This window comes from Homo sapiens, chromosome 3 (assembly GCF_000001405.40).
Source record: "Homo sapiens chromosome 3, GRCh38.p14 Primary Assembly".
In the NCBI taxonomy this organism is placed as follows: domain Eukaryota; kingdom Metazoa; phylum Chordata; class Mammalia; order Primates; family Hominidae; genus Homo; species Homo sapiens.
In genome coordinates this window covers 3,181,074-3,202,736 of record NC_000003.12, presented here as the reverse complement: position 1 = coordinate 3,202,736, position 21,663 = coordinate 3,181,074, and the positions used below count along the sequence as shown (strand labels likewise).

The 21,663-nt window shown below is 40.2% G+C and overlaps 1 annotated feature.

The window, feature by feature from the left end:
• Nucleotides 806-985: an enhancer, noted in NCBI's record as "active region_19345". NCBI's record gives its function as "activates an Ori minimal core promoter by ATAC-STARR-seq in GM12878 lymphoblastoid cells {active_cell/tissue: GM12878}" and the evidence as "EXISTENCE:reporter gene assay evidence [ECO:0000049][PMID:35858748]".

Here is a 21,663-nt window from a genome sequence, read left to right as displayed (position 1 = left end):
TCGGGAGTAGCTGGGACTATAGGTGCACATCACTACACCTGGCTAATTTATTTTTTGTGGCGACAGGGTCTCACTATTGCCCAGGCTGGTTTTGAACTCCTGGCCTCAAGTGATCCTCCTGCCTCAGCCTTCTAAAGTGCTAGGATTGTAGGCATAAGCCACCACACCCAGCCTGCTCAAGCTATTCTGAAACAAAAACTTTATGATTCTAATATGAGAGATCCCATCTATAGAAATAATGGGGACGCAAATGGTCAGTATCTAGTGTTACGTGACTTTTGGCTACAAGGGAGTAGGTTGAAGTTCAGCCTGATTAATGCTTAATTGTAACTATACTTCTTTCCATAATTCCGTTTAACGCGGCGAGGATGGCTGTAGGCTGAGTCCCTCCTTTCTCCCAGCCTCTCTCCTCCTGTCCTTCCCCACCCTTCCCTTTAACCTTTACCCCTCCCCCGACCCCCAACAAAGCAGCCCTGCACGTATTAGTTAGGAGTCAACAAAAACCACATTGGAGGATGTCGGGCAAAGTAAGTAACCACTGATTTACAGAATTAAAAAATGTTAGAATGAGAAAGAGTCTCTGAGAGCATGTTTGGAAGGCCCTCATTTTACAAAGGACTCTGAGGCCCGAGGAGGTCATGCCCAAGGTCTCACAGTTAACGTGTAGACGCCAGGACTAGCTGCGCAGATTCCTGATTTTATGCTAGTCAGCTAGACTCCAACATGCCAAATAAAAAAGCATGAGCTGTTTTCACCGAAAACCAAGAATCCTGACTAAAACAGAGTAAATCTGCCCTGCTCTTATTTTCATTATAGCTCCACACTGTGAGGAGAATCAGTTAGCAAAATGTGAGAATGAGGCTATTCGTTCTAATGCCAGGGCAGAATGAAACTGAAATTTATCTGAGGTGTGACCAGAGCAAGAGCAGCCCTGTGAAGTCTTTGTAGTACCATAGGAAGGAAATCCCCTGAGGGCCAAGAGAAGAATTTTAGAAAGTAAGATCACCAAGGGTAGATAGGGGTGATGAAGCCAGTTGCTGGGATGGGAATGGGTGAGGAGTGAGGCAGGGTTGCCTGTGCTGTTTTATGAGAGGAGACGGAGTCTTGCTCTGTCCCCCAGGCTGGAGTGCAGTGGCACAAACTCAGCTCACTGCAACCTCTGCCTCCCAGGTTCAAGTGATTCTCATGCCTCAGCCTCCCAAGTATCTGGGATTACAGGCCTGAGCCATCATGCCCGGCCCCAAGGAGTTCTTGCAATTTATTTACAGAAATGGAAAGAAGAAAAGGATTCACATTAGCGAAGAGAACTAAAAGAATGAAGAGCAGTGATTTTGTTTCCTTTAACTGGGAGGATGAAAATTAATATGATTTGAACAGGAAAGAGTTTAGAAGCATAGTTGTGGGCAGGGCCAGAAGGAGGCTGGGGAGCCAATGAAGGGGCAGGAGAGGATGTAGAAGCTTGTCCCCAAGGTCAGACACATGAAAAATTATGTGCCAAAAGAATGTGGGGCTCTTAAAATAACCCAAGCTCAAGGTATTTCCCTTATTTTTTAATGTTTAAAATTTAACTTCACTTTTTTGTTGTCTTGGTGAGAGGTGAAAAAAAGGTTGTGCGGGCGGCAAATATGTTTTAGGAATTGGTGAATTCCAAGCACTGGCATCATATAGTCAGACCTTCTAGTGAGGTCACAAACCCAGGTAACATCAGTTAGTTTGGGAACGTTTTTCAATCTTTGAAATCTTACTTGGGCATTTATTTAAATGCCTTTCTTTTCTTATCTGCTTTCATTTTCTTCTTCATTTAAGTGCAGAGATAGAGAATGTGTGCGTCTGTTTCTGCATGTGAGCCATTCTCTCAAGTCCAAGTCCAGTATTTCCTCTCCGGCCACTCTCTGTTAAATACCAACCCCGCCATCTTGTGGCTAATGGGTATTTGTGCACCTGGCTTAAAGCTCACTTTGAAAAATGAACAAGTCTAAAAAACACCAATATCATGATTTCTCATTAGCTTCAGTCATTAAATAATATATGAATTCTGATGTTGCGTATATTGACCATACTGCAATGCATTAATGAGCTGGATGCTTGTTGTAAAATATTTATTATGAAATGAAGGGCATTTAAAATGTAATCAATACAAAAAAACACTCACTGGAATTTTATGCATAAACACAGGCTTGAGAATTTAGAAGGGTCTATGGGATTACAACTGTGAAAGCTTTTGTTTTCCACTCGAACTAAAGGAGGTGTCCCTCATCCTTCTCTACTCCAGCCATTCATCATTTACTTCAGATTATTTGTTACAACTTCCTATTACTTTGTTCCCCCCAGCCCCCAGTTTTGCAGGTAGAATGCAGTGAGTTCGACAAGATTAGGGATTGCCTTTGCATTTTTCAGCGTTGCATCCCCAATGCTTAGCATTTTCCCTGGCACACAGTAGACACTCGACAAATATTGGTCAAATGGACTTAATTGATTAAAAATAATAAATAAAATAAGCTCTTAAATAAAAATAAGCACTTATAGGACTACATATAAATTAAAGAAACCTAATCAGGTGGATAAAGAAACTGTGGTATATATACGATGGAATACCACTTAGCCATAAGAAGGAATGAATTAATGGCATTCGCAGCAAGCTAGATGGGATTGGAGACGATTATTCTACGTGAAGTCACTCAGGAATGGAAAACCAAACATTGTATGTTCTCGCTCAAAGGGGTAGCTAAGCTATGAGGATGCAAAGGGCATGAGGATGACACAATGGACTTTGGAGACTCGGGAGGAGAGGGTGGGAAGAGAATGAGGGATAAAAGACTACAAATTGGGTTCAGTGTATACTGCTCAGGTGATGGGTGCACCAAAATCTCACAAATCACCACTAAAGAACTTACTCATGAAGCCAAATACCACCTATTCCACAAAAAACTATGGAAAGAAAAAATTAAAATAGATAAAATAGAGAAATTCCTCTAACCAAAGTGAAATGACATTTTTTCAAGGAATTCAGTGACACTGGTTTAGGTATGTATCTCTGGTACTTTCCAAAGCTGCAGTGTTTCTGGCCATGCTGCTGAAAGTAAAACTGGTAGGAGACTGCTTCCATTACTCAGTGATACGTTGTTAGTATTGAAAAGCCCTCTTTAGAAGGCTGAGGTCTATTAGCAGTAAACTGGTGCCTTTCAAAATCAACAGCCAACTCAGAACAGCTGGGAAATTCATATGTTTTGCCAGATTTCACTGTGTTATTAGGTGACATTTAGATAACTGATTTAATCCCCACCATCGGGAGCTGCATAATTCACTAAGCTTGTGGATTTCAATGCATGGAAGCAAAGTGCTGGGGCTCTGCCTTCTTGGATATGAACTTAATCATGTCACATCAAGCATTCATTTTAAATTATAGCACCACATCTGTATTTTGACTTCTGACAAATGCTAAGTATGTCCTGACACATATTTTTGTCGTGGTAAAAGCCTATTTGAAAACCAGAAGAGATGGTGAAAGGTAGAAAACTGAATTGCACACAGGTTTGAATTTGAGTTTGTATCAATTTTGAGTTTTTTGTTGTCTTCATTCAATTCAGAGAGCAAGTTGGTGGGTTCCCAAATGTTCTCCAATGGGGACTATTTACTTTACGAAAATCTGAGAACCTCCCAAAATACAATGAGGTGCAGCAGAGGAGCCCTGGCTATATTTAGAGAATATAGGGGAGGTACTCTGATTGGCTCTTCTTCCTCCCCCACCCCCACGGTTGCTAGGGGTCCCAGTAAACCAAGGAGGAGAGTGTGGAAATGAGAACCTACCAGCTGAATTGTTTTTATTTTTGGCAGTGAGGGACAAAATTTAACGTGTATTAAAATCATCTAGGAAGCTTGCTAAGATGTGGACTTTCAGACCCAACCCCCTGTGGCTCTGTATACAGACAGAAACCAGGAATCTGGTCATTCTGATACAGGAGAGCCATAGAACACACTTTGGGAAACATTGATTTACTACTTTCAACCAAACAAGTGCAGGGGCTCTGTTTTTTTCACGAATGCATCCCAAATGCCCCTAGCACATGGTCTGGATGCAATGAGTAACTTGTAGGTGTAGACGATGGATACGTGGATAGATGGATGAGTGGATGGATATGTACATTCAGGGATTTAAAGAGAGGATGAACAAGAGTAGAGAAGAGAATTGTAAAGTTTCCAGGGTTTCAAAGATTCTTTGAACTTATTCTTAAGTGTTTGATAGATACGTTGCATTTGCCCCCTGATTTTGTGTGACCTTTATTTAAATACCATCTCCCCTTGGCAACAGAGTAGTTTTGTCACTTGAGATTAAAAGTGATTTTGTTTGTAAAATGGCAAACCATCTTGACATTTCATCTACAAACCACTTAACAAATTTCTGTTCTCATCCAAAACTACTCTTCCAAGTAGAATAGAGACTTCTACCAGTGGTTTTATAAAACAAAATACTTCTTTGTAGTGAAAGTCCAATCAGAGGTACCCCAGAAGAGGCGGGAAGGGGACTAAGCTGTGTGCTGGGGGACCTAGATGCCAGGTGTAGCTGCTTTGCTAACAAGTCGAGTGACCTTGATCAAGCCATGTGCCTGGATGAGCACCAGTTTCCCCATGTGTAAAGTAAGAGATTTAACAAAATAGTCCCCAAGGCCCTTGGAGCACCACATATTATTTACCATCGTTTTGAGGCTTTGGGTTTCCTCACATGTCTCATTTTTGGGTGTGAAAATTAGGCTTTCCTGAAGGCCTCCCTTAATTATATCATGATAGATAGAACAATGGTTCCCCTAAAGATGCCCACATTTAAATCTCTGGAACTTGTGCATATGTTACCTTAAATGGCAAGAGGGAGTTTGCAGATGTGATTAGGTTAAGAACCTTGAAATGGGGAGAGTAGCCTGAATCATACAGGTGGGCCCAATCTATTCACAAATGCTTAAACCCTGGATTATACAGATGGGCCCAATCTAAGCACAGCACCTTAAAATCAGAGAACCTTTGCCACCTGGGATCACAGAGCGAAAGGGAGCTGTGAGGATGGAAGAAGGGTCACAGAGATGGGATATTGCTGCTTTGAAGACTGAGAAGAAGGCCATGAACCAAAGAATCTGGGCAGCCTCTAGACACTGGAAGGGCAAGGTAAGAGTTTCTTCCCTGGAATTTCCAGAATGGAATGCAGACCTGCTGACACCTTGGTTATAGCCCAGTGAGACATGAGCTGGACTTCTGTCTTACAGAACCATGAGACTTTTGTATTGTTTAAACTTCCAAGTTTGTGGTCACTTATGATAACAGCAATAGAAAATTTATAAATACATTCTAAGGATACAGGAAATATTCAGGAGTCTAGCACTTTGCACAAGCCGACCCACTGTGCAAACCAGGGCTTCCTCTACAGTGGTCCACAGGGTCTTTTAACCTGGACCTTATACTTACCACAGTCCTCAAATTTAGATTTCGACACTTATCTCCAAACAATTCCTTTGAAAACTATGTGTGTGTATAAAATGCATGTGTGCATACATAGATATGTGTGTGCATATATAAGCATACATACACATATATTCAGTCAGATATAGTCAGTGAGATTATTTCTTCAGCATCCCTATAAAACCATAGAATGATCTGAAAACACAATCGATAATTTGTAACAAATGCCACTCAAGTGAAGCCAGTTGCGGTGGGTAAGCCCAGTACAAATAGTAAAAGGACACTCTGAGGCAAGTAGTCTTTATCATGCAGCTCTGGATCGGAAAGCTAATTAGTCTGGGTTTGATGAACTCAGAGGCTGAAAGGAGCACCTGGATACACGTAAAATTATAATGCAGAAGGGAACCGTGGAAATTTCCCAGGCCTATACTTCCTTCATGCCACAGACTGAGACTCAGAGGGTCAAAAACTATTCCAAAATCACACCTGAAGTATTCTTTTGGCTACAGTGGAAGTTCCTATAATCAAAAGGAAAACAGAATTGGAAAGTGAGCTGATATCACTATATCTAGAACCTGTACTGCATGAGCCTATCTCAAAAGCCAACTGCTGTGTCATGTTTTGATGACTTGCTAAAGAAACTGGGAAGATGAGCGTGGTTCAAGGAGGCAGCGGGTGGAAGAGGGGCAGCCAGGATACGAGAACTGATTCTTATCTAAGCAATCAACGCACCCTGGCTAGCAATAGGCACACACAGCTCAAAGTCATAAGCATAACCTCTACTTTAAAGTGGTCTACAATCCACATTGGCCTAAATTATCTGGTTAATTTCCATATCATTAAACATTAATTGAGCACCATCTAGAATATTAGAGTTGGAAGAAACCTTAGGAGCATCTAGTTTATCCCAGTTATACAAATGCAAACAGGCCTAACAGGTTAAGGGTTCCTCCTAGTGGCCGAGCCAGGATTTCAGCCCCATTGATTAATTTCCAGACACTTGCGCTTTCTCCTCTCCTCACTAGAAATTGGATTCTCCCTTTTTATGAAGAGCCTCAAAGCATCATGAAATGAGTTTTCAGTGTCAGTTCCATGTACTAGCATTGCCTAACTGTTAGTCTAAAAGTGTGGCCCCTGAAGTCAGAGTTCATGTCCTCTGGTAGAAGGGAAAATGGACTCATAATGTCATCCCAACTCTTTGGTGAATAAACAAAAAACATTCCACTTCTAGGCTGAGGACACAACTTCTTTAAGGAGATTTGAATGAAAAGCACTAATTATTTGCCAGCAGTCTGATATTTGAATCACCCACAGTGTTTGCAGTACTACAGACTTCTGACTTTTCTTTCATCCGTCAAGAAATGCTACCTTAAAAGGCTGTCAGTGATCAGCACAATATATTTTAACATTAGATAAAAAAGCCCATCCAGAGCCATTAGAATAAACTCAAATTTGCTGTTAAACCTAATATGAAGATATTATTCAAACACTTCCAACCTCAGACCTTTGCTGAGGCAATTTCTTAGATCTTTGCTCCTGATATTTCTAAATTCACTCCCCGAATGAAGACACCCACTAAATGTCTCCCTGTCAAATGCTACAGTTTTAGGAAAATTCATTTTACTGTTAATACTTAAGGGACAGAGGGATCTCAGATTTGAGAGATCTGCATTCTGTGGGGATACTTGATGTGTGTCCCTGTGCTAATTTTAAATCTCATCATAGAAATGAAATACATAGATAAGAAAAGTTGTGTTAAATGAGCACTGTACATGGATTATCCATTTGCAAAGACTGATAATGCAATAAAGTACTCTTAACATTGAAAATGTGAGTAATAAAATGTAATCTTTCTTTGATTCTGAATGCTCTTTAAGATTGTGCAGTGCCTTGGACTTACCACAGGGAATATTACTTTTTATGGATCATAGGACCATAGAACTTTGGAATTGAAAGGAACATTTTGGATCATCCAGTTAAGGGTTGACAACTAGGTTTTGCCCAGTTATGAACAACAATTGATTGTTATGGTTCTGGTGTGCTATGCTGAGAATTCTGAGGTTATGTTTGGATTCAGTGGAAAAGTATAATGAGATTGATTAGCAATGTCTGAGTAGGGTGGGAGGAAGAACAGTGGCTGGTTTGGCACTTATTTGGTGTCCTTAATGAGTCCAACTTCTTCATTTAACAATGAGTAGCCTAGTAAAAGGATTTGCCAGACAGAGTCAACCAGCTGGCAAAGTTGTGGTCAAGCAGAACTAACCACCACTATTGCTAACACAGGATGTTAGCTCTACAATTTCAACTGGCAACTTCTAGAAAATAGAAAATAAAATAATTTCTTGGATGTCTAAAAACTTTGGCAGAAAAAAATAACTAAGCAGAAAATATATTTGGATGGTGATATAGTTTACCTAGGAAATTGATGACAATTCATTGAATAGTTTAAAAGAATTTGAAGTCAAATTTTTTGTGAGGCACCATGTAGTTTAAACTATAATTATGCTTTTAGAATTCATTTTTATACTCTGAAATTTGTTTGTTTTCTCTATGCAAGTTACTGCATTAGAGTTGTGAGAATAGTCATGAAATATTTTAGGCAAAAATCCCCTAGCGTTTAACAGATGCTTAGTGAGTACTTGCTGGATTCAGACAATGTACTCAGTCCTGGAAATTCAATGCCAAATGGAACCCTACGTTAAAGGAGTTGTCAGCCTGGTTGGCAATTTCTGGCACCATAACCAATGGTTAAAGCAACTTTGTTTTGTTTTGTATTTTAAATCTGTAGAGAAATCCAAGAAATGAGATAGAAGTCATGTCCTGAAGAAAGTTAAAAAATAGTAAGTGTGGCTCGGCACTGTGGCTCACACCTGTAATTCCAGCACTCTGGGAGGCTGACGTGGGAGGATTGCTTGAGGTCAGGAGTTCTAGACCAGCCTGACCAACATGGTGAAACCCCGTCTCTACTAAAAATACAAAAATTATCCAGGCGTGGTGACAGGCACCCATAGTCCCAGCTACTCAGAAGGCTGAAGCAGGAGAGTCACTTGAACCCAGGAGGCGGAGGTTGCAGTGAGCTGAGATCACATCACTGCACTCCAGCCTGGGCACTAGAGCAAGACTCCATCTCAAAAAAAAAAAAAAAAAAAAAAAAAAGGAATAGTAAGGGAGAAGCTGACAAGACAAGCTGACCATTTTTTTCAAATAAATGCTCAGTGACTATTTGAAACATCAAGCTTTTAAGTATTTTAAATATTTTTACTAAAATACAGCACATGTACAATATATCAAAATACATAGCTCAGTGAATTATCACACAATGAACAGAGTGATCACAGCCATGAAACCATCATTCAGAGCAAGAAATAGAACATCACCAACTCAGAAACCCCTTTCATCCTCCTCCCAGTCTTTACCCCTTACATTAGCCCAAGCGTAATTACCATCCTGACTTCTAACACCAGATTCATTTCTCCAATTTTTTTACCTTTATGTTGATGAATCACATTATATTTATTATTTTATATCTGGCTTCTTTTGCTTAACAGTATTTTGTCAGAGTTATCCATGTTCTGAGGAGCTATAATTTATTTTTATTACTATATAATATCACACTGTATAAATATAGTTTAGTTTGTTGATCCATTCTGTTGTTGGAGGATATATATCTACGTTACTTCCAAACTGGAATTACTACAGATGATGTTTTTTTTCTCTTTTTTTTCTTTTGTGAAAGCAAGTTCATTAGGAAAGTAAAGGAATGAAGAATGGCTACTCCATAGGTAGAGCAGCCTACAAATGATGTTTCTACAAACATCCTTGTACATGCATTGAAATGCATGCATTTCAACTAGGGACATACTTAGGATTATAATTGCTGGGTCATTGGTATAGATATGACTAACATAAATACTTCCAAGCAGTTTTCCAAAGTGGTTGTAACCAATTTATACTCATATTTATAGCATAGGAGAGTTTGCATTGTTCTACATCCTTGTTAACTTTGGTTATTTTCAATTAATATTAATTGGTCTAGTAGGTATTTCATTAGAGTTTAAATTTGCATTTTCCTAATTATGAAGAAAATTGAACATATTCTCATGTTTGGGCATTTGGAGACCCTTTTATAAAGTACATGTTAAAGCCTCTTGCTCAATTTTCTTTCAGATTGTCTATTTTTTTAATGTATAGATTGTTTAAAGAAATTGGACAATATTCAAAGTAAGAACTGAACTACAGTTCATCGACAAACACCGCAAGAATGTGCATCAGTCGGGGATAAGTCAGGTTTCATAAACCACCCCAGTTATATGAAAAGAGAGCTTAATACAAAGAATTGCTAACTAGTTACAGAATTGTAACCAGGTAACTGAAAAGGCAAAAAGAGAACATTAAGGTAACATGGAGGTAATAATTGCAGGTCTAGAATATAAAGGGAAAGGTTGGCATTATTAAACTCAGAAGCTGGAAGCAGGGGCCTATTGAGCTGAAATTCAGTGCTCTGAGAAGGTGCTGGTCAGCTACAGCCAGGGTCTCTTGACAGGTTGAAAGGCTGGTTCTGCAAATGTTGGAAAAACTACATGCTGGATGTGATTGCTGCTACAGGAACACAATGACATTGGAGAAGTGGGACGAGCATGATGTTCCCAGGAGCAAGAAGCAGACAGGAAGGAGTGAGTCCCTTCTTTCTCCAGCCTTGTGGTTTCCCTCTAGTACCTCCTAGGGGAGCACAAAGCCAAATACCTCCCAGAGAGGTTGGAGCTAAGAGACAGTAGGTTAATTACTGGCAAGAGATCAAAAAGGCAAACCAATGAGTGGGAGAAGATGCACAACAAACAACGGACTTGGCTCTAGATTTGAGTGATATATAGCAGGTAACAATAGTGTAACCAAAATGTGGGTTAGTTGCTTATCACTTGCAGAGTTCAATTAACAAGAGTGAGGTCTGGTATAAAGAAAGTGATTTATTTCCAAAGCTAGCTTAGAGGATGAAGCACAGGCATCCCACCTTTAAATGTACCGCTTCCCTCTTGGAGAAGAAAGTGAGCACTTTTAAAAGACAGGGGAGAAAGTGAGCAAGGGCAATGGTCCTCATACTAGCTTATCTACCACGCAGTAGAGCTGGTGACTGCTGGTGTTTTCCTGGGCAAGCTGTTATCTCTCAAGACAACTTCCTGGAGGGTGAGAGTTCCCTAGCAAACATGCTGTGGTTTGTAAATTAACTGTTAAGAGTTCTGTCTTAGAGCACACAGTTACGTGAACTTACCCAGTAAGAGATGTCTGAAGGAGAGGTAAAAGCCTATATAGTTCCATTTCTGAAGGGCTAAATAGGATGTGGGGAACCAGGAGAACAATAAGAGAGAAAAACCACCTCTTAGAAAAATGGGGGTACTGGGTTACAATTGCTAGGCTTTGAGATAGTGCTTACCACGTGCCAGCTCTGTTCTAAGGCTTCACCATGTTATTATAATTCATCTCACAAAGGCCCTTTAAGAGTAAATTATCTTCATTCCCACTTGAAAGATGAGGAAACAGAGGCAAGAGAGTTTAAGTAAACTGCCCAAAGTCTTACAGCCAGGAACTGCCAGATAGAATAAAATTCAGATAGATTTAATTCATTTTTGTCTTCATACTCAAATTCAAAAATAGGATTTACTGTTAAAACAGCTATAAAAAAATTATAGTAAATGAGACATGAAAAGTAGTAGCAGGTCTCCTGACTTAAGGGAACTTTTACAGTAATCAATAATTTCTAGTCATAAAGATATGGCTCATAAAAATGTGGCCGATGGCATCAAAATCTTTTATCTTTTACCTTCTAGAAAATTCTTATCTGCTTTTAGTTGGTCTTTCAAGAATTCTTGTCACTATAGTGAAAAAACATAGATTTTAGGGATGTGGGTTGTTTAAAATTATGTTTACTGACTGTTGATCTGCTTTCTGCACTTTGTTCTTGCAGATGATAATTGTCTGGGTGAGAATAGTTCTTCTTTGCCTTCTCTGGAATCAAAACTTAGGCTCAAACTGCTCCCAAAGCAGTAACTCATAGGAAAACTCCAGATTATTCATTGCCTGTGCATGATTGTATGAATGTAACTGAACTGCCTACAGGCCCAGTAATTTCACTTTTCTCACCTGTGGATGCAGCCTACACATGCTGATCGGTCAGAGATTTGGAGAAAATAGAATTCATTGATTTATTTATGCTTGCTCTGAAGTGTAGGGTAAGCTGAAAACCTGACTTTCTTTAAAAGGCAAGTCAGTGTTGGCAGTCTTCTAGAATTTGAGTGGGGAACTAAGGCTTATTGGGCCCCCTCTGTGTCTCAAGCACTGTGTGGCAAGTAATGCCACTGCCTCCTTATTGGTGTCTCCTAGTCCACACTTGTCCCGATTCTTCTGTTCCTCCACCCTGCAGCCAAATACTGATTTCCAAATGCAAAGCTAATCATAAGATTCTGCTTTGGGGAGGGTGAAAATTCTTAATACGGTCCACAGGAGCTAATTTTCTTGTAAACTGCAACCTCAACCTCCTGGGCTCAAGCAATCCTCCTGCCTCAGCCTCCCAAGTAGCTGGTACTACGGGTGCATGCCACCATATCTGGCTAATTTATTTTTAATAGAGACAAAGTCTCACTGTGTTGCCTAAGCTGGTCCCAAACCCCCAAACTCAAGCGATTTTCCTGCCTTGCTCTCCCGAATTGCTGGAAGTGCTGGGATTGCAGATGTGAGCCACTGTGTCCAGCCCTGCATCCTTCTAATAGGGACCCCTGAGATTAGATTGAACCCATCTAGATATTTCAGGAAAAATTCTCCATCTCAAAATCCTCAACTTAACACATCTGCAAAGCCTCTTTTGCCATGTAAAGTGATGTATTCACAGGGATGTAGATTTCTTCAGGGGACCATTATTCAGGTTGCCCAAACCCTACCTCATCATTCATTCTTCCCTTCTATTTCTAGTGAAGAAATGCCTCTTGCATTTGCCAAGGCTTACATCATAACTTTCCCATGTTCTGTCCTTTACCTCCTCCCACACAGTGTGCTCCTCCTCTCAGCAACTAATTCCCCTCATTGTCTTCTAATGGAGTTATCAAGTTCTCTGAATTTGCATTCCCAGCTCTGCTACTTTGATGCTGTTAAGTAGTCACAGAGCTTTGACTCTCTGGTTGCCTTTAAGTTGCCTTACAGATAACAACTATCTGTAAGGCAGATATTTGGGACTATCTGGAGGATTAACTCAAATAATGAATGAAAATCTCTCTCCCAGAGCATGGCTGGTGGAAAGCATTCCACACATGTAGGTTGTTGGATTCATTACCTTCAATATCGCCCTGTTTCTTCTGTCCTATCCTGGGGACTGGAGGTCTATACTACTTTTACTGATGACTGGGTTCTCACTCTAAGCCATCATTCGAATAGCACATATCATGACTGTGTAGACATAAGCTGGGCTTTCTCCTCTGAGTTAAATTCAGTCCAACAATTGTTTATCAACATTTCACTCTGTGCTATCACTGAGCATATAAAGATGAGTGAGGCGTGGTTTCTAACCTCAACCAACATTCTGCAGAGCTGTGGAACTGGATGTGGAAAAATAAAACTTCAAAATAAAGTGGTAAGTGCCTGGAAGAAAAGACATTTGAGCTGAGTGAGCCAGGAAATCCTTTTGCAGAAAAAAGGTTAAATTATAAGCACTATTGCTGGTTGTATTCATTGATTATATCTCTGCCCGAGGCATTGGGCCAATCTCTGTCATCAGAAAGATTCATGCTCAAGTGTTTCAGAATAATGAGAGCTTCACCACTCTCTTATTTCCTGCCCAAACCTGGTGAAGAGAGCTTGTTGGAGGGGCCTGGATAATCCCCAGATTCCCTACTTTTTCAGCAACAGGCATGATACAAATTTAAAGCAGCACAGTCAATTTGCTTTATCAGAATATGGTGGCTGCCTAAGGGTCATCAGCCAGCACAGAGACTCCTGCCAACAGGAAAATGGCCATGTGATGAAGCTCAAAAGACATCCAGCTGGACTGTAAATCAGCAGTGCTCTGACTTTCTAGATGCTGACTCATTACAGCAGAGCAGAAGACCTAACCCTCCCTATCCTATGCATTCCTGCTTTGCAGAGCAAAAGACTTCTGTGAAGACCAAGAATTGGAGTAGTAACAATAAAATCTCTAAAAATGCATCAGTCAACCAACATAACAACAAAAGCAAGTTCCAATACTTTTCTCAACTCTATTAATTAATGCAATAAGAGCAACAACCCAAACCCAAACCAACTTAAGACAGTGCTGACGCTGTATAAGTAATACAGTATCCTTCCAGAAAGTTGTGGGAACCCCTTGGTCTATGCCTGCACAGTCTCAGTAGAAGCTTTGCAATATTGTCAAAGCATTGGTTGGCTGCCAGACTTCTTGAAACAATATAAAATGAAAGTGTATAGCAAACTCTAATAATGCCCTAATTTTTGTTTATGAAAACCAAGTTTTAGTTATTCATATTTTAAATTTGTATTAATAAAAAAATCTTTAGTTGCACATCAAAATGAAAGTCCACAGGCTTGTCTTCAGTCCCCAAAGAAAAGACTTAACATTCAGGGATACATTTGTATCTATCCAGGAGGACCCCTTGTAGAGTACAGTGGCCTCATAGCCCTACCCTGAGAAACACTGAGACCAACATCCACTCCCTATCTCCCAGACCCCTTGATGTCTCGTCCCTGGCGTCTGTCTTGGGGGAAGCTGAGCAGTGTCACATAGGACTGAAAGAAGCAAGAATAGGACCACAAATCTAAAGCAAGAGGAAGAATCTGGAGGTTGACCCAGGCAATGGTGGAAGAAGGACCAAGTGAATAGGTCAAAAGTTAAGGAACACACAGTGAGTTAAGATATGAAGAGGACTAAATTCACAAAGCTGTAGAAAAAAATGAAAGCTGATTGAGACCTGGAAAATCATTTATACTGAACCTGTGTTTTCAAAGGGAGAAAGTGACTTGTGATCGCAAAAAATAGGGATAATAGCACCAACCTCTCAAGATGGCTGTAAAGTTCAATGAAGGAACATATGCAAAACACAGATATTGATTTTGGATTAGAGTAAGTGTTTAACAAGTGTTTGTTCATTCATGAGTGACAGAACCTGAACTAAGTCTTCTAATTTAGAAGCAAGTACTCTGTCAGGCTACCAGAAATCCCAAGTATGTAGGAGATTCATAATAAAACAATGGTAACCTTTAGAGCCTGATACTGGGCCTAAGCTATGGTCTATTTACAGGGATCCTGTTCAGACAGGAATGGATCTCAGGTCCAGGATGTGACTCCATCCAGTAAAGTTAAAGTCATTTGCTATGTGGTATACTCTTATAACATAAAGTTCTTATAGACAGCACTTGCCACATTGGGATGTATACTATTATTTGTATATGTGTGTCTTAGCTACTAGTATGACCTCTTTGGAAGAAAACATACCTCCTTTTAATTTTTTTATAATGAAAGTAATTACTTATAATTATGTTTATTTATAATTTCTTATAATTATGATGTCTTAGAAAAATAGAAAGCTTTTAGAAGCCAGTAGAGAAAAAACTCCTAGTATCCAGAAGTACCCACTGTTTCAAAGTATTTATTTTGGTGTGCATTATTCTGTCTGTGCATTTCTTTTTAACGTATATATACACAGATGCAATAAGCATACAACTTGCTGAGAAAAAAAACAGCTTTTGTCTAAGCATGCACCTCTGTGGACTAAATTGGATCTAAGCCCCAGTAACAAGTGGACAGGGAAGACATGCGTGAGTGTGTGTGTGTGTGTGTGTGTGTGTGTGTGTGTGTGTGTGTGTGTGTCTGTATGTCAGGGTTTTCAGTAATGAACAACAGAAACTGACTCTGGCTTACCAAAGCAGAGAAATCATTTATTGGAAAGATATCAGATAACTCACAAATTATTTTATCATTTAGCTTCTTTCTGTCTTGCATGTTTCAAATAATGTTGATATAAACATCTTTATGGATCAATTTTGTCTGCTTTTTGCATTATTTCCATGGGATAGATTTCTAGAAGTAAAAAATAAAGGTTAATCCTTTTAGATCATGAGATTTCCTATTTTGGATCCTTAATTTTTATTAATATCTTAGATACAAGTAATTTTTATGAAGGAAAATGAGTGATAAATCCTTTCAGTGTGTGTATATCCGAGATGCGTACACTATAAGGCCTACCAACTGCTCATTGCTCTGATTGTAGCTGTTGCTATGGGTACACGCAGAGAATTGATGACATCCCTGAAATTTAGTTGGTAGAGAAGCCTCCATGTTCTGCTGCTGCTGCCACCACACTAACTAGCCTGGTGTTCATGCTGAATCCAGCAGTTGAAGCAGTGTGGCTGAAATAAACCCTCTACTTAATCTTGCTTCTCTAAGATGATCCCTGCACTCCTTCACCAGCAACCACCATGGTTCATACTGTTTCTTTGGAGAAAAAACATATAATATATCCTACTTAACTAGATACCTGTTATGCTGTTTATATGTCTGCTTCCCAACCTCTACCCTCAAGCTGTAATCCAGCCCAGGGCAAAGGTTACATTTTAGTCATCTTTCTCCTCTGCTAGCTTATTAGCCTCATTCACCCAGGGTAATGGACTCTTCTGTTTTCTTTTCTGCTGTACCCCTCGTTCCTATAAAAAATACCCGGTGCATAGGAGACATATAGTGACTATGTTAATTAATTTGAGTTGAAGAATAGACAAGTAATTCAGAGTCTACAGTATTAGCATGGTTTTTGTCTCTGAACACACTGGAGTTTTGTTCTCATCTTGGTCTTGCAAGTCACTTTAGCTTTTTTCTGTCTTACGACTTTTCAGTTAGCTCCTCTACTGAAACACATTATTAGACTCTTATATCCATTTTTCTATTTTTCATTAATGAAAAGTCACATTGCTCATGCATCCATTAATAACTTCATATGCAATATCTTCCCCAATTAACACCTGGGATCTAAATTTTTCTGTTTCCTCATATACAAATGGTAAGCTAATGTCAGTTGCAGCAAAGGGTATATTTACTAGGATTTGGGGACCCAAATCCTCTTCATGCTATTGGGAATGATATTTATTCAGACTGGGATTTGACCTGTTTTTTGTCTCTCTTCTCAGTTTCTTTGTGAGTTGGTTAACTTTTTCATACAGTATAGGTCTTCTCAGTTACATGATTCTACTTACATCTGATTTTAATAATTGTGCTGGTCTGTTATTTTTAAGCGAGTTTCTTAAGTTATTCTGTTTCTGACCACTGAATAGCATCATAGCATTTTACAACTGTCCAGGGATTGTGAAACATTGGTCTTCCTCAAGTATAGAAGGGTGATGAAAGCCAAGAACATCATCCTCAGTAGTTCTTTCATTTGTTATACTTACGTTTCCATGTAAGATTTCCTCTGAGCAAATAATTTTGAAGCTTATATATGTGAATATATATGTGTATACATGTTTACATTTGTATGTATATATGCATATATCAACATATGTACACAGATATGAAAATCACAAAGTTAGTACCACCCTGTGGCAGACATTACAAATGTAACCAAGTTCCACTTCTTCTACACAGAGTATTAGACTACTCTGCTCCCTTGAAGTTAGACTGAGCCCTGGGATTCACCTTGGCCAGTGAAATATGAGTGAAGGTGATATGTTTCACTTCCAGACAGAAGCATTTAAGAGACAGTGTTCAATTCTCCAAGCTTTTTCCTTCAGCCATGGGCAATCTGCGATTATAGAAGCACATACTGATGTGAAGTTTCCACAAGACCAAAGCAGCCTTCGCTGGTGATCTGTCAACAGAGAACATGATGCCCTGGAGAGTCACCAAATCCATAGAACATTTGATTTGAGCAAAAAATACACCTCTGTTGGTTAAGCTGCTGAAATTTTTGTTACTGTAGCAAAACTTCACATATCCTGGCCTTTGTAAACCCTTATGTGCAAGACCAAGAATACAAGTCCAGGGAGGAAGACATTGAAATACCCCAACCAAAGTTACAGGTAGAAAAAAGGCAATGACTAGAATTGAGGTCTCCTCTCTCCCTGCTTTGTGTTCACCCCTCTGCAATATTCTGTACGCTTTTGCTTCCAGTGGAAACAGCACATAGTGTCAGGACAAGCTGTTGGGTGAGTCATGAACACAGTTTTGCACACAAGTTGAAAAACCATAAATTACCCAACATTTTACTTTCTTGCAAAAATCTTCCCTACTTTACCTGTCAAGTCAGAGATGGATGTAGTGGCAGGAAGTCTCAGTAAATTGCAACATTAAGTATCATCACAAATAATCATTTTTGGCAAATAATCCAACATGCCTGGGACTTGTATAGGCTCTGGTGTACCTGAAAATATTACTGTAGCAGGGAAAGTCGCATATAAAGGTATTTTTTTCAAATCCCAAATTATTCACCATATTACTGAAATATGAAACTGAATCATTAATAAAATTGTCAACATTTTGAAGGGGCTATGAAATACCCTTACTACCTCTGGTTTTCTGCCTGCTAACAGAGCAGGCTTCCCTGTTTTTCCTCTTTCTAGGTCTGCATAAAGCTGACAAGATCCATCTTTCATTCCCTCATAACTTTGGGATTTACAGGATAAGATGCTGCCATACACATTCTACAGCCATGGCTTCCAGCCCCTGCACTTGATGGTAAGAAGTAGACTTTTAAAAAAAATGCATTCCTGAATACGTTACTATTTGTCCTGATATATAGGTTGCCAAAAAAGTTTAAAAGATTTTTCCAGTGGGACAAGTTTAGGAAACTGTTTGTAGCCTCTGTAGACTGGGAACTTGAGAATTACCCTGATTTAATTCTAAAGACTTTTTAAGTTAGTGACAGCACGACTAACATAGTTCAAAGAAAGTTGATGAACATGATTCTCTGTGACTGAATCAGAGAGAGCTACAAAGGAGTTAAAGAGCCATAGTTATGATCCTTCATTGTCAAGGGAGGCTGAATATGACTGGGATTCCCCAGGCAGATAACGATGTCCACATAGCCCCATCACAGTGCTGCAAGCACCTCTGCCACTCTATATGTAGGACAATTTATTGTACAAACTGGCACACTTTGAAGAGTGGAATGGGGCAAGGGGTGGGGCTGGTCTGGTAGTTATGCTGATACACCAAACACATACCAGGGTTGTCCTGGGCAAATCCCAATGTGGGGTTGCTCTATCACTTGCTACACACTCATACATGTGGTTGCACACACAAATGCAGGCCAGATCAAGGCAGGTAACACACACACACACACACACACACACACACACACACACACACACACACACACTGGCTGGTTGGCTTCTGTGACCAACAGGGGCTGCCCCATCTAAACCAGGCATTGTTATTTAGTCGGAGATCATTGTTCCCATGCATGAATCTGACTCATGGTTGCCAAATCTTCCCAGTTTTAAAGAGAAGCAGGAAATCAATATTGGTATATGTATTCTTCAATTGCCAAATGCTGGCTGGCAATCGTATAATTCAAATACTCAAATTACCACACAGGGCAAGAAAGTCTCTAGCTTGGGAGGTCACCTGTTTGGGACCCGTGTCTCACAGAGTGGCAGAGGGAACTGTGGCACTGTGAGAGGAACATGCCCGTGGAGCTGCTTACATCTCACCTGTGCTTTTGCCTCAAGGGAGAAAGCATTGGAAGATTTATGCACTTCCAAAATTAATGAATTCATCTATTGAAAAAATGATAACCAAATATGCCTACAAGTTAATCTAGCTTTGCTTTTTCTAAAATCCACAATTTCCTTTAAAAACAATTTTGGATCTTTGGACTAGGTTGGCTGGTTTTATCCATCAAACCAATATGGGTCTTAATCTTCATCCCAGATGGAAGTGGGGAGGAATGATATCTTTGCCTTTCATCATGGAGGAAAATCTCTTCTAAAAGTTATCTTCCCTCTTCATTCTCAGAGGCTACCAAGCTGACTTTCTCTAGGTGTCATTAGCCAGGACCAGATCAGGTGATACCATCAGCCATAGAGGAGCTTGGAGGAATAGAGTGGGCTCGTTATTACAGGCTTACAGCAAACACGACCCCATAGCAGAGTACACTATTGCCCCAAACAAAATCAGAGTTCTTGGCAAGGAAGGAAAGAGGAATTGCTGTTGAGTAGGTAGGAAATCGGTGTCTGCCAGAACTGTGCAATTCATCTTTCATTTAATGAACATTTTTTGAGCAGCTTTTAAATGCCAGAACCTGTTCTTGGGAGCAGAAATTCCCCATTCAGACCTTATACCTTTGAGGGGGGAGAAATGAGACTGTTTTTAAAAGTAAGCCTCACAGTATTTTATTATTCTATTATTATTATTTTGGAGACAGGGTCTCATTACGTTATCCAGGCCTCATAGTATTTTAAAAGTTGAGAAATGCTTTGATGAAGGCAAATGAAGCAGAGAAGGGTAGAAAATGGTGGGAAGTGTGGGAAGAGGGTCACAATCTGACACTGGGTAGTGTGGGAAGGACTCCCCAAGGAAGGGGTATTTGACCCAAGACCTGGAAGGTACAAGGGGAAAAGTCACGCATCTATGCAGGAGGAGAGCACTCCAGCCAAAGGAAAAGGCAATTGCAAAGGCCCTGAGGTGGCCATGGGTCCATGTGGTTGTGGAAGAAGAAGATCAGTGTTGATGGAGGGGAGGGAGAGCCCACAGAGCAGCAGTGAAGTGACATCAGGGCAGGATATTGGGGGCCCACTGTGCATTATAAGGGCCACTGCAAGGGAGATGGGGAGCCAAGGAAGGGTACTGAGCAGGGGAGTCACATAATCTGACTTGTGTTTTAACAGGATCGCTCAGACTGCTTTGTTGAGAAAGCACTGTGAGAGCTAAGGGTAGAAGCCGAGAAACCAGTGTTGGTGCTATTGCCATACTCCAGGCAAGAGATAATCAACCGCTTAGACCAGAGTAGTAGCATTCTTTAACACATTAAAAAAATATGTAGAGGCTGGGCATGGTGGCTCATCCTTAATCCCTTAACCCCAGCACTTTGGGAGGTGGAGGTGGGCAGATTATTTAAGCTCAGGAGTTCAAGATCAGCCTGGGAAACATGACAAAACCCCATCTCTATAAAAAATACAAAAATTAGCTGGCCGTGGTGGCTGGTGCCTATGGTCCCAGCTCCTCTGGAGGCTGAGGTAGGAAGATCACTTGAGCCCAGGAGGTGGAAGTTGCAGTGAGCCAAGATTGCACCACTGCACTGCAGCCTGGGACAGAGCAAGACCCTGTCTCGAGAAAAAAAAATTTTATATATATATATATATATGAAGAGAGACAGAGAGAGAGAAAATACAATATAAAGGGAGACAGAAATGTCCTCTCCCAGTCTATGTGCTCCTTGCTGCTAATATTGTGTAGAAGCCAGAAATGGAAAGAGCGATGGTCCTTTTCATTTACATTTTCTCCCGTCTTCTACCACCCTTAATTCTGTACTATTAAAGTTAATTCTTGAGCTGTAAGACAGTGATCTATGAACATATATATTTCTTTTCCCTCTGGCTTGCAGAGCTCCTTATCCATTGATACTGCACGCAAGCAAGAGGAAATGTTAGGAACAACTCAGTATGATATCTTCTTTCAGGATAAAGTTACCAAATTAAACAAATGGTAAATGACCATGTTTTCCTTTTGGTTTTAATAACCAGTGCTTAATCCAAGAAACCTGCTTGCTTAGATATTTTTGTTCAATGATCATCTGTTATCCCTACTGAAAGGTGTAGCTGTGGATGACTAGGTAGACTCCGGAGGGATAAAATGAAGGAGGGAGCAGGTGGTGAATGTGAAGAGTGGAGAGGAGAGGAGGAGAATTGGGGAGTAAAAGATACACAGATGTGAGCTCCGGTGATCTGTAGCAATGCACAAAAGAACAGAGAAAGAGCCAGTGCTTCTCCAGCCACATTTGTAGACTCCACCAGCCTTGCAGCTGTGCTTTCTCGTCCGGAGAAGTCTTGATTGACCCAGGGTTCAGACAATTCTGGTATCACCTCTGGGGAGAAAGACTGGAAAGTCAGAGCTTACTTATTCAGAAGCTAGATGCTTGTGTAAAGAAAATTCTACTGCACGTAAGCACAGGTTATTGAAATTCTACAAACTGTAGTGAGACATAATGTTACAGCATCAAACACACACACATATTACTTAGTGCATGCTCCCTGCTT